Here is a 14,508-nt window from a genome sequence, read left to right as displayed (position 1 = left end):
CACTGTGTGTGTGTGTGTGTGTGTGTGTGTGTATATATATATATATATATATATATATATATATATAGCACTCAAATACATGTCTTAAGCAAAATAGATGTTTTTCTCTTATGTGAAAGAAATGTCGTGCCAGGCAGTGTAAGGGTAGTGTGGTTGCTCCACGCAGTCATTTGGGACTCCATCATCTATACATAGCCTGTGGTTTCTCTTAAAGTGATTCAAGGTCCTTTTGGCTCCAGTTTAGCACCTGGAGTTCCAGTGAGCACATGAGTGTTCCAGGCTGGCAGAAGGAGCTAGAGTGAAGGGGAGTCCAGGAGGAGGAGCTGATGAGTTAACATAACAGTTTCAGATGAGCAAGCCTTCTTTAACAAGTTTGCCCCCTCCCTACCAAGCTCTCTGTAATGATTTATGCTTGTATCACATTTAGTTGCAAGGGAGGCTAAGAAATGCAGTCTTTTGGCAGTGCATATTGCTAATTTAAACATTTAAAACATTTCTCAGAAAGTCTTAATTTATAATATTTTGCGATTCCAGATAGGCTTCATTTACTGTACTAAATATTCTTAATTCATTATGATTAATTCTTGATTTTCCCTGTTATTCATCTTGTTAGCTATCTATGTATGTATCACAAGCTATTTTTAGTCACTTAGTTGTTAGTATAGCACCCCCTAATGTCAGGGAAGGGATACCTTAGTGTACCATGAGAAAAAATAATACTCAGAGGTGAATGTACAGGTGGTTAAATAAGTATATACAGAGAGTATTTTTAATGGAGTTAGAAATTGGGGGGAATGTCTTAGAGTAATGGTTAATGGTTTGGTTTATGATTCTTTCTCTTCTGTTAAATGTATACATAACAATAGTAGTGGAGAGAATGCCATTGGATGACAGATGATTTGGAATGGATTGGGATTCAAAATGATCATTTTATTTTAACATTTCATTATGGAAAATTTCAAGCATGCACAAAGATAGATTAGTATATTGAACCTCACCCACCTTTAACAGCTGTCTACGTTCTACTGTTCTTGTTTTGCCTTTTTAACTCCTGCCCACCCCGGTTTTCCTTGTGGGGATATTTTAAGGCAAATTTGAGATGTTATATGATTTCATCTGTGAATTCCAAATTATATACCTCTTATAAAGGAGGACCCCTTATAAATAAACAAAACCTTAGATCACATTATCACACTAATGATATCAATAATTCCTTAATATTCTTTAATTTTTAAAATAATCTTCAGAGGCTGGATTATTAGCTTAACATCAACAATAAATTAAATAGGGGATAGGGAAAGGCATAAATGTTTCATATCCAAGTTTAAAAAACCAACCAGAGTATAAGGGTTGCAGAGCTATCACTTGACCAAAGCATATGTAAGAATGATACAGAGATTTTAGCCAACCACAGACTCAGTCTTAATAGTATGGTATGTCTGATGTAAAGAAGAACATCCATGGACTGCATTTTAAAAGTATAATTTTCTAATTATAGAAAATAATAATCCTTTGGTATTCTGTCCCAATCTTAATAGTGTCTATAATATGTTCCCTTCTGGCCACTATATTTGATGAAGGGGACTGGTAAATTAGATAATGGCATGATATCCAGAAGGTGGCAGCCAAAATAGTGAGTACGTCTTCCATGAGGAAATCATTTTGCACTGTTCTCCATTGTAAATGCCTCTGTTTGGCACAGTGTTTGGCATATGATAACAACTCGATAATGACTAAATAAAAGGAGAGAGGGTAGATGTTTATATCATGAACTTAATTTGTGAACTTAGGTTGTTTTTTCTTACACATAATGTTAATTTTGCTTATGGTTCTGTTCTCTGAAATCGCCCTTAGAAATTGTGGTGTCATTGTGCTCAATTAGCATTCTTCTCTCTATAGATACTACATGAACTCTAATATGACATTCCTTAGGCATTTTTGCTATGTATCATAGGCAAAGTTGTAAAACACAGGATAATATGTAAAAAAAATTGAGATTTAAATTTTTTTGTTGTTAGTCATCCCAGTCTTGTGCTGAGAGATAAACTTTTTTTCTTTAGAAAGATGGGATATTGTGTAGGAAAAGGAGCTATATCTTTTTGTGTGTTAATTCTTTTCTTTACTTTGGTGCTTAGAAATCTGTAAGATTTTATTTGCAGATGTGTCATCCTTTTCATTTGATATAGGTATACATTTGTGGTAATTAAGATTTAAAAACTATATGAGTTTTAATTTTAAGGTATACTTGTAGGTGGATGATGAAGACTTACAAGATGAACCTTTACAGATCACAGTTCTTGACCATGATACTTACAGTGCAAATGATGCCATTGGTAAAGTGTACATTGATATTGATCCTTTACTGTATAGTGAAGCTGCAACAGTCATCTCAGGATGGTTTCCAATTTATGACACCATACATGGTAAGGAATAATAAGAAAGTATTATAAATAACAATCTTAATCTTTTTTATTTGTCCTTAAAGACATTTGTGCTATATTTGCTGGTTTAAAATATGTATCTTTAGGCTAGGTGCGGTGGCTCATGCCTGTAATCCCAGCACTTTGGGAGGCTGAGGCGGGTGGATCACCTGAGGTCGGGAGTTCGAGACCAGCCTGATCAACATGGAGAAACCCCGTCTCTACTAAAAATACAAAATTAGCTGGGCATGGTGGTGCATGCCTGTAATCCCAGCTACTTGGGAGGGTGAGGCAGGAGAATCACTTGAACCCGGGAGGCGGAGGTTGTGGTGAGCTGAGATCGTGTCCTGTGCAACAAGAGTGAAACTCTAGCTCAAAAAAAAAAAAAAAAAATATATATATATATGTATATAATATATCTTAAGATGATGCCTTTTTAAAAATAAATAATAGTAAATTATTGTTAGTAAAATTGTTGCTTCTCTCAACATAATTTGAGATAATGCTTGCTAAATTTGTATAGTATAGTAAGTAAATGCATGATTTAAAACTGATCTAGTATTGATACTGTGTTTCTAAAACACATTTTCAAACTGATTAATAATGATTTTTGTACTTAAAAGTTACTTAAAAGTTTTTTGTTGCCTGAAGCAGGGCCTCCCGGGCAGTTGCGATTGCAGGCACATGCCATTGCAGGCACATGCCATGACACCTGGCTGATTTTTAAATTTTTTGTAGAGACACGGTTTTGCCATATTGGCTAGGCTGGCCTTAACTCTAGAGCTCAAGTGATCTGCCTGCCTCAGCTTCCCAGAGTGCTGGGATTTGCTTTCTTAATATTTTAGTAGGTAAATTATTGAGTCAGTTTTCTTAAGTCTTCCACCATAAGTATGAATTTGACATGAAGTCAGGACAGTCAAGTGAAAATATTTAGTAAATGTTTAGAGATAAGATCTGGGTCATTCTTATTTATCAGAGCATGTTTTGAAAACCCTTATTCTTGGAATTTTTTATTTACTTAATTTTTTTCTCGCTGTGTTGCCCAGGCTGGTCTCAAACCCCTGAGCTCAAGCTGTCCTCCTGCCTTGCCTCCCAAAGCACTGAGATTACAGGCATGAGCCACTACTCCTGGCTTGGAATTTTTTAGTTAGCTTGCTTTAACTTATATTCATTGAAAAGAATAAAACTTCTTTTGTTTTAAATCAGATTCTTGCATTGTTAAGAATATATAATCTGGGATCATAAAGATCTGAATTTTAATCCTGGATCTGCCACTTAACAGCTATTGACACTGTAAATTACTTAATTTTTATTAAAAATTTCTTCCTTTGTAAAATGGGGATGATACTACCTTATTGGGTTGATGTGACTGCTCTGAGATACTACCTGTAAAGTGTTTAGTACATCGTGTATCAGTGCTCAGCAAATGTTGTCACCATAATCATTATCATCATCATCAATTCAAATGGGACTCCTTTCTAATTAGTCTTGGGTCAAAGTGGAGACTTGTGAAAATGAAAATTATTCATATTCTAATGCATACGTGTTGTGCTTCAGAAAATATACAGAAACTACTGAAAAAGAAAATAACTAGGAAACAAAGCTGGCATTACTATTATGATCAACACATTACAGATGCACCTTGATTTGTGATGGCGTTATATCCAGATAAACTCATCCCAAGTTGAAAATGCATTTAATATATCTAATCAACCAAACATTATAGCTTAGCCTAGCCTATCTCAAATGTGCACCGAACACTTATATTAGCCTACAGTTGGACAGAATCAACTAAAACAAAGACTATTTTTTAAATAAAGTATTGAACATCTCATGTAATTCATTGAATTCTGGACTGAAAGTGAAAATCAGAATGGTTTTGCACCATGGTAAAGTTCAAAAAATTGTGAGTTAAATCATTGTATTTTAAAATCATTATTTAGCATTAATTTGCTTCATTATTTAATTGTACATTACTTTCTTAAGGTAGAAACTTGATTTTCTTTTTAAATTTATAGGTATCCGTGGGGAAATCAATGTAGTTGTCAAAGTAGACCTCTTCAATGATTTAAATCGATTTAGGCAGTCATCATGTGGAGTCAAATTCTTTTGCAGTAAGTAAATACATTCTATTACTCAACAGGAAATGTAATAACTGTTAAATATGAGAAATCAAGTTAACATTTCAGAAGGCAAGTAGAAAAGCTATTGTACTTGGTTTTAATGCCAAAGAGAAAATTGTTAATTTTCTAGAATAGTTACAGTAGTTCTGATTTGAGTATAAATGATATCTAGTTTTTGAAAATTTATAGAAATTTTTATTAGAAAAATCCAGTGACATTTCACTGTAGTATAGGACACTAAAAGAAAGGAGCAGAACACTACGGCTAAGCACTATGGTGCTGTCCCAAAATACACAGGCTTTTATGGGTATTGGGTCTAGGGAACTCCATGAAATATATGGGTCTGAAATGGGCAGATCTTGGTGATCACAGCCCGCCTGCAGTAGTAGGATTGAAATCCCTAAGTAGTTGACTTAGCTTCAGTGCACCAATGTTTATTTTAAGAGACTAATTTGGTACAGATGTATTCAGGTTCTCTCTCTCCTTTTTGAATCTGAACTTGACTCCTCAGGTTATGTCAGAAAGGTAATGGTTTGATTTTTGAAACTGCTATGTGGTGTACAGAAGTACTTTTACAAAGGGCTTTGAATAATTAAAGATTTAAAAAAATTCATTATCTGCTTTCTACCTATTTATATAATAATTAGCTAGCTGACTTAAATTTTGATTTTTTAAACTTTGTATTGAATTCTGTTTAAGGTCTTCTATAGCTGTTTTCCAAATTATACAAATGCAGTTTATATTTACTTTGCTTACATGAGAAAGGTGAGAGCCTCCATGAAAGACAATAATTATTTCTAAAAATGAAATAGATCTTAGAAGACTGGAAGTATTATTATAATTACATTGAAAATATTACAGTAAAAGATGTTCTTGTATTATGTATCTAAAGGTCAGAAAATTGAGATGTACATTTTTTAAAAATTGAGTTTTACCTTTTGATAAACAGAAGCATAATAATTTGTTTTAACAGCAACGTCTATTCCAAAATGCTATAGAGCTGTGATAATTCATGGATTTGTAGAAGAACTTGTGGTCAATGAAGACCCAGAATATCAGTGGATTGATCGAATTCGCACACCAAGGGCATCAAATGAGGCCAGACAGAGACTCATTTCGTTAATGTCAGGTATTTAAAAAAAATAACTTTATTACTGACTGATTTAGTACTCTCTTAAATTTTTTGCTTTCCTTTGACATGCTACCTCAACTTTACAATGAAGGCTATGAATTATAAGTGACTGCATGCCTTCCCCTGGGCCAGTCTTCCTGAACACACTTGCATTGCCCTCTTTTAACAAGTGGAAATGCAAATCAGAAGCTTGTAGTAAAAGGAAATTGTGTTGATGAGGTAGTGTAGTGGAAAGAGCGCTGAGCAAGGGGCGTTCAGGAAGGAACCCTGAGTGGGAACCTGGATTCTAGTTTTCCTTCATCTACCATTTATTTGTCAGAGCTTAAGCAAATCACCTTCTTCTGTCTCTCATACTTTCTGTTCAGATGTTGCCTTTTCACAGTTCCTCCCTAGGTACTGTAGTTCCCTCTATCCTTTTGACCACTTTCCCTGCCACTCTGACCTCATTCCCTTTTTAAATTTTTCTTTGAAAAACTTGTTTACTGTTTTATTTAAAATTTACATTTATATTAAGAGTTATATGTGTATATGTGTGAATATATATTCATACATGTATTTCACACAAAGTATCAATGTTATATTTATATAGCAAATATATTTGTTTTTATTCTATATATTTGTGCTGTATAAGTATATATTATATTTTATAATTATGCTATATTGTAATAGAATTATGTTCTGTATTCTGTAGAGGCTAAACCAGATTATCTTTTAAGTTTCCTTCAAGTTCTGAAAATCTGTGATTTTCTTGGTCTTTTTTTTTTTTTTTACCACTACCATGTCCAGTCTTATAGTATGTAATGTAAAGCTACAAAGCAAGAATGAGATTTCCCATGTTTTGTAGGTGAGCTGCAGAGGAAGATTGGCTTGAAAGTACTTGAAATGAGAGGAAATGCAGTTGTGGGGTACTTACAGTGTTTCGATCTGGAGGGCGAGTCTGGGTTAGTGGTGCGAGCCATAGGAACGGCGTGTACTCTGGATAAATTAAGTAGCCCAGCAGCATTCCTTCCTGCATGTAATTCCCCATCCAAAGAAATGAAGGAGTAAGTATGAATCAATGAAATTGTTCTTGCTAAGATTTTTATCTTTTATCTATGCTTTTTCATTTGATTTGAAACATTTTAGTAGGGTTGTTCAACATTTTCTCTGTGATGATTTTTATTGGTGATGACTGTCAAAATTTAAAACTTAAAAATATTTAAATATTCCTAATATTTTATTTATACCGTCTTATTTATTTTTATTTTTATTTTTTGTGACAGGGTCTTGCTCTGTTGCCCAGGCTGGAGTTCAGTGGCACAGTCTTGGCTCACTGCAGCCTTGACCTTCTAGGCTCAGGTGATCCTCCCACCTCAGCCGCCTGAGTAGCTGGGACTACAGGGGCAGGCCACCACGCCCAGCTAACTTTTGTATTTTTAGTAGAGATGGGGTTTTGTCATGTTGCCTAGCCTGGTCTCAAACTCCTGGGCTCAAGTGATCTACCTGCCTTGACCTCCCAAAATGCTGGGATTTACAGGTGTGAGCCACTGTGCCCTGCCTATGCCATCTTAATATGAAACAAATTAAGTAATATAAAATTAAACTTATTCCAGATATTTAGACACTGCATATATAAAGCATAAAATGAATATTCAAGCATTGTGTGGCATTTTATTTTCTGAGGAATACTTAAAACCCTCTACCAGATAATCCAATTATACTTATTAATGGCCACATAGTATATAAAGCAGGAAAAATTGATTTGTGCAGAAGTGTTAAACTCAAATGTCTAGAGGCCAGGGAGTTTATATGAATAAACTAACTGAGTGTAATTAAATAGAGTATACTGCTGCTTGTAAAGCCAAGGTTGGCAAACTTTTTCTGGGAAAGGCCAATACTTTAGGGTCTGCCCATACAATCTCTTGTCTTTATTTACAAAAAAAGGAGTTTGCTGATCCCTATTCTAAAGAAATTTAGAGTCATGCATTTTAGAAAATCTATGTGTGATCCTGCAAAACACTTCTGTTGGCTTGATTTGGCCTGTGTGTGTCATCATTGTGTCAGAGGCAGAGATTTTCAACATGATGGTGGTCATGACTGTCATCACAGAGTGTTTGGAACAAGATTTTTCAGTCATAATGATTAGGGTGCTAGGTCCTGTTGGGGACTAAAAACGCTGACTATCCCGCACAGCAAGGGACAACCCTATACAATGAAGACTTGTTTCATCCTAAATGCCTTTAGTACTTCGGTTGAAGACCACTCATCTAGAGATTCTTCTAAGTCAAGGGTTGGCAAACTTTTTCTGTGAATGACCAAATGGTACAGGTAAATGATTTAGTTTTTGCTGATGCTACTTCATAACTGCCATTGTAGCACAAAAGCAAACATAAACAGTATGCAAGTGAATACAGTGTGACTGTGTTCAAATAAAACTTACTTACAAAACAGATGGTAGGACAGATTCGGACTGCAGTCTGTAGTTTGTGGACTCCTGTCCTAGATAATCAGGGAGTCAGAGTTGTATAGTCAGGAAACCTAAAATGTTTCCCAGTTCAGTAGTCAGGAGGGGTTGAATAGAAAGGTATCATAGTATGAAAAAACATGTTTTTTCACCATCTTTTTTAAAGTGAAATTTTCATCTTTATCCTAAGTGCATTCTTTTTGTTAGCCATTTTATTTCTGCTGGCCATTAGTCATTTGGGTTGAATTTTATTCATAAGAGGAAGCACAGTGTTACATACTGCTTAATTTTATTTGGAAACACATTGGCAAATGAAATAATTGTTTTAAATAAATCGAAGAATGAATTTGCTTTATATTCCATTTAAAATATCTCCTAGAAAGATAAGAATTGCCAGCTGCCAGCAGTAGAGTCAGATTGCAGGTTTAGCTTTTTGAGGTATTCAGATTTTTTTCCCTCTCTCTGTAGCAAATTTAAGTAAATATTTACTAGCAAATTAAAGTGCAAGTTTAAGCAAATTTAAGTAAGTTACCTAGTGGAAGGAGAATGACAAAGCTATATTACCTGTTGGTTCCTTAGAATGAAATACAGAGAGCAAGGGGATATGTTTTGCATGCATTCAGGAAGAGTTCTATTAGTGTAAATCTTCTGGGATTGTATACGTTTTCTCCTTTTCTAATCTTGTTGTAGCCTCATGATGGACGTAAGTTCCTTCCTTAGGATTTTCTAAAAGGCATCTTACTAATTAAGTCAAGTTATTTTTTAAAAACCCTCAATACTCAGGCTGTTTTATTTCAACTGGCTTCATTGTATTTTTTGAGAATGAAGCAATTTGGGTTCTATTTCAAAGCCTATTTTATGATTCAGCTGATTATAACTATTCTGGTATTTAATTATGTAATATTGTTGATTCTAGACAGGAATTTGATAAAAGGTGGTTTAGATTATGTTATTGACTGACTGGAAAGGAATATTAATATTATAAATACCACAGGTTATTATGAGGCATCCTTTCATGCAGAGAGACTGATCGAATCAGAAAACTCCAAGAGTACATTATGGTGATGTTCCAGTGTATTTGAATTTTAATTTGATGCCATAGTTTGAACATTTTACACTGTTCATTTTAGTTTTTTCATTTTATTTTACCTACATTAATGGTGTGTTCTACTTCCTAAGTTTTTTTCTTTTTGATGTTTAGTGTCATGCACACTATAAATCCCTTTGGTGTTTTCCAGCTTAACTCTCTTGACAATAGAAAGTGCTTTTAAGTATGAGTTATTGCTTCTTTACTTAAAAAAAGTACTACGAGACAAATTCTCCTGTGTATACTACTGATTATAATAAATATAGCATTGTTTATTTTTAAGTCTTGGATTTTTTAATTCTTTTTGAGAATTCTTATACTTTTTCTCACTTCAGTGGAGAAATAAAAACAAAAACAAAACCTTACTCATTTTTTGGTGTAAAAGTAGATCACCAATGAATTGTTTGATTTTTATCCATTATAGTAAATACCTTTTAATTTCTATTAGCAACAAACGTAGAAACAGTTCTCCTATTGCAAAATCAGTAATATTTTCATAAAGTAGTCTGTAGACCTTAGGAAGGACTATTATGATCAGTTAGTGATAGCTCATGTTAGAACCTTGACAAATTGTGAATTGGGGAATGTTCCTGGGCAGTCAGTAATATAGCAATGGAAAAGAAAGAAAAGATCAGGTAAAGTTGGGCTCTTTGCCTGCCTTTAATTTGCGTTCTAAAAAATGGGGATGATAGTTTTTCAGAGTGTACTCACATATGATTCATATGATTCTGTTTCCCTCATTGTGTGTAAGCAAAGGCATTGCACAGTGAAATAATTGCTGATATTAAATTCAGGATTCTTATTTATGTAGTATACCTTTTTACAACATTCAATGTAATCCTTTTAGCCAAATTTTTTCTTAAAAATTTCAAATCTTATATATCAATATATACTTGTATAACTGCTCTAAGTATACACACACATAGATATGGTTTATTATAGGATATATGTTGATATCTTATAAAATTTTGATTTGGAATATAGTTTATATGATATATTCTGTATGAGAGCCAAAGTTATTGACATTGTTTTATGAAGATGTCTTTAAAAGCAAGGTCCCCTTGTTTTGTTTCCAGTGTAACCTGATTTTAAGCTATATATTTGGTGTATTGAAATACTGGAATATGTTTATCTGCGTATATCCAATCAGTTCACTCATTTCTCTTTGTGCCATCATCTCTCATATTCTTAAATACCCCTATCTTAGTAGCCTAGACAGTTATTTAACTTTCTTTATAGAAAATATAATTAATTATATCAGCAATTCATATCTCAGTTTCAAAGGTAATATAAGAACTTTATATTTGACTTTTTACTTTTATGGGCGTCCCTCCCCATAAATAGTGCATAGTAAGTTCTATTGTGATGAAAATAATGACAAATATGTTAAGGAAACTTAAAATACAGATCTTAGTCTTGTTCTCATTTAATTTCATTGACTATTCTGCTTGCTATTTTCTTATTCACAATTAATAAATTAATCACAATTAATTTATTAATCGGATACTTTAAAACTATGTATCCTAACAAATTAATATTTAGCTATTTTTCAATTTCAACTTGTTTTTTGCATGCTAGGGATTAAAAAAATAAGTTCTCTTCCCTGACTAAAGCTCCTTTGAAATTATTTTAACATAACTCTGCAATCTGTTGTATGTATTGTTTTCTTTTCTTCCACTTTGACCACAAATTCCCTCAGGTCTCCGCTGGTTCATCCTCCAAGCCATGGATGCCGCTCGACTCACAACAGCCCAATTCACACTGCTACTGGCTCACGACTTACTCAGAACTTCTCTGTGTCTGTTCCCACTCTCATCTATACTGGTACGAGACTGCTCAGACTCCAGAGCTGGGGAGATGCAGGCCACGGGCAGAGTGGCTGCAGAGGCAGGCAGGCAGGTAGTGTAGGCAGGTACCATAAATCTTTGCTTCATCCTTTTCTTACTCGAAGTCCAGCTGCAGTGAGGAACTTCTGTATTTAGCTGCCACAGAGTCTCTAACTATATGGAAGTGAAGGTATTCTTCCAGCTTCCAAAGTCTCTTCCACAGATCCTCAAATAATGCTATTTTGTATGTGTGTACTGTGAATTTTGTGGCGAATCCTCCCATATATATTTTTATAATTATTTCTGCATTTGTTTAAAAATAAAATTGATGATTAGATTCTAAATGAAATAGCTGCCAAAGCTTCCAATTTGCTTATTTTCTTTATATACAAAACCTATTACAGTAGGTCCTATTTCATTCTGTGGAAGAGAGCTATTGGAGAACAGGTAAGCAACTATTCTGCATTAAATGCAATGTTTCTGTGTAGCTGTATTCATTTTTCTCTCTGCTGTGTTTTTAGCTGTGGCACTCTTGCTGCTATAGGATAAGGAAACATTTTTTTCTTTTGAGGATATCTGTGTGTGTGCAAATATAAAAACAATTATGAATATTTACACACACCATTTGTAGTTACCATTTTTCTTTTGTAACTTACAGCATTGTTTATTTGAAAATATTTTGTCATATATTCTTTTTATTTCTCCTTTTGATATTTTTTATCCCCTTAGTCTGTCATTTCATGCTTTTTTGCTTTTTCACTTGGCTTATTAACTGTTTCAATGCAGATAATATTTATCTGGAGAGTGATGAATGGTTAAACAGCAATTGGTTGTCTTTGGCCTCATTCCCAGCTCCACACGTAAGAAATGACTGCTGGCCCTGCCCCAATTCTTTCCTGGTGTTTGGATCATGCTGCCACCTGTCAAGTCCTTTGGCACATGATTACTTAATATTTCTCCACCTTCTTCTGGCAGGATTCCCTTCAATGAAGATCCCAATCCCAATACTCACTCATCAGGACCCTCAACCCCTCTGAAAAACCAAACTTATTCCTTTTCACCTTCCAAGTCCTACAGTCGACAGTCCTCTTCTTCTGACACAGATTTGAGTTTGACACCCAAAACTGGTAAGGCGCTTCCACCCACCTTTTATTTTTTCTTTTTTAAAAATTTGTTTCTATTTCTTATTAGCTTTCCATCCAAATCTTTCCTCTTGTTTTTGGCACTTAAGTTAAAAAGAAAATGTGAATACTGACCATTTTCAGTTACTGCAATTAAAATATGAAAATTTTGTATAATTCAGAAATTATCTTGTTTACATTTCATTGATTTAATCATAGTGTAGATATCAAAGTCCACGATTTATTTTGGCATGTAGACATTTTTCATTTTATGCTCGAATTAAAAGGAATAACATCTTAAAACATTTTGACTAAAAAGTAACACTAGTGGCTTGCAATCAATTGCATACAAGCATTTTTGAATTTATTATTTCTGCCTATTAGTGAATATAATTCTAAGATTTTATTATGAAAAAACTTTAAACCACTGAAATGGTTATATTAGAGTACATCTATCTATTTATTAACTGGGTATTTAAAATGTTTGGTTTTACTAGTCTTTCTAGGTTAGAAAATAGCATTTTTACTTATTCTTAAATTTTTCTGTTCATTAAATTTGTATTTTCTATTGTATTTTGATGAATGATTTCTGGGTTTTTATGAATATGTTTTATGATAAAAAGTTGATGAAAAATCAGATTAGTTCTTTATACCTTAGAATAGAATTAACTTATTTAAATCATTAAATTATTATTGTTTAGAAAAATTTAAAATAAATTTAAAAACTTAATAGTGATGAAATTTTTATAAATAGTATTTTTGTCTGACAGTTTTCCCATCAGATGATTAAAACATAGTTCTTATTTGTTATTTTTAGTTAATATTTTTAGTAGCCCTATATGTATGTTAGAAAAGAAATTTATAAAACAATCCTAGATTTTGTGAAAACAAGGAAAAGAAGTCTAAATCCAAAGCAGTGCTACTTCTAAGGAAAGATCATTTTTTAAAAAGCCTATAGATTTAATTTCTGTTTTTATAAATGAAGTCGTAAAATATAAAGATAATTATAAACACCTGTTTTCTTGAAGATAACAGCTTCATCTTTCTAGATAATTGTGAATAATGTCTACAAATAATGTAGTTATTTGACAGTAATGGATGCTTTGGAATTTGGCACCTTACGAGGTTTATGCCATAAAAATGGAACCATCCAGATTGTAGTGAAAAAAGATTTTTTTTTTCAGATAAAGAGTAAGAGGCTCTGGCCTTAAAATTCATGACAATCAAGACAAGAAAGACTTACATTACTATTTGAGTAATAAGTTTAAAAAAATATTTTTGAGACTTTGGTCCACAGACTGCATATTCCAGGCCTTTATTTATTTATTGTTATTATTATTATTATTTTATTTTTTTTGCCATACCACAGATAAAGTTTGGAAAGCATTTCCTTGGTCTTTCTGTTTCTTGTTTCTTGTTTCTTTTTTTTTTAATTTACCAAAAAGGCCAAGCCTAAAGAAGATTGTCAAGGAATAAATATCAATGAACTTGTCATATTTTATCTTCTGGCTCCAAATTTTTAGTTTAAAAAAATTTATTCTCAAATGGGGTGTTATTCTCATGTATTCCTATATTTATAAGCTACCTCTAAATAATTTTTTTCCTAAAATTATTTATTACTTCAATAGTTTATTTATATAATATTAGCAGTTTTCAGCCCCTTGGCCTTATATTATGAGTCCCTAAATATCTCTAAATTGTCCTGAGGAGCACTCCTATTTCTCATGGAGACTTCAAATGGCAAAATTGTGATTGTTATAAAAATTCTAAAACTATAATTTCAGCCTGTATTTCATGATTTTCTGCCTTCTGATTTACCTATATCAGAATCAGTGTCTTGAGAAATAATGGACAGAGATAAGCTGATTATAATTTATTTGGGAATCCAAAAGTAGAATAAAGTTAATAACATTTAGACTGAGAAAGTTGTTTTTTTTTTTTTCTGTTTGTAGTTAAAGCTACATTATCTGTATTTCTGGTAGGTCTCTTTTAAAAAATTTTATATTTCTGTAGATACTAATTTTTGACATTTACAAGGTTTTATTTTTATATTTTTTCCCAAGTATTTAACTAATAGTGGAATTTTAGATTTACTAGTGTTAGAATATTGATTTGACACCTGATTTTAGCTAATTTTTTTTAGCCAGTCTTTTAACTATGTATAGTTTTTATAGAGGGTATTTGACCCTTAGGGTACTCACGTCTCTGTAAATGCAAATAATACTATGATCAGAGTAAAGTATTAAACATTTTAGAGGAAAAAGAAAAGTATTAATATATATCTCAAAACTGGACAGAAGTTAATATTAAAATTAATACTGACAACTGTTTACCTAATCCAGTACTGAGTATTTTT

General features: G+C 32.8%; 1 protein-coding gene across 34 annotated transcripts in view; it reads left to right on the top strand.

Moving 5' to 3' along the window:
• C2CD5 (C2 calcium dependent domain containing 5) overlaps positions 1 to 14,508 on the top strand; it is a 95,960-nt gene that overhangs the window by 14,399 nt on the left and 67,053 nt on the right. For 19 of the 34 annotated variants that reach the window (NM_001385330.1, NM_001385329.1, NM_014802.3 and 16 more), the window contains 5 exons: positions 2,252 to 2,423; positions 4,439 to 4,534; positions 5,517 to 5,672; positions 6,520 to 6,718; positions 12,007 to 12,158. In NM_001385330.1, coding sequence (NP_001372259.1) covers positions 2,252 to 2,423; positions 4,439 to 4,534; positions 5,517 to 5,672; positions 6,520 to 6,718; positions 12,007 to 12,158 — 775 coding nt within the window. Of the gene's footprint in view, positions 1 to 2,251; positions 2,424 to 4,438; positions 4,535 to 5,516; positions 5,673 to 6,519; positions 6,719 to 10,904; positions 11,030 to 12,006; positions 12,159 to 14,508 lie in introns of those variants that run through there. The other 15 variants (XM_005253538.3, NM_001385326.1, NM_001385325.1 and 12 more) reach the window with 4 other exon arrangements.

Source organism: Homo sapiens, chromosome 12, assembly GCF_000001405.40.
Source record: "Homo sapiens chromosome 12, GRCh38.p14 Primary Assembly".
Taxonomy (NCBI): domain Eukaryota; kingdom Metazoa; phylum Chordata; class Mammalia; order Primates; family Hominidae; genus Homo; species Homo sapiens.
Note: the sequence above shows the minus strand (reverse complement) of the source record. Positions and strands in the feature narration are given on the sequence as shown.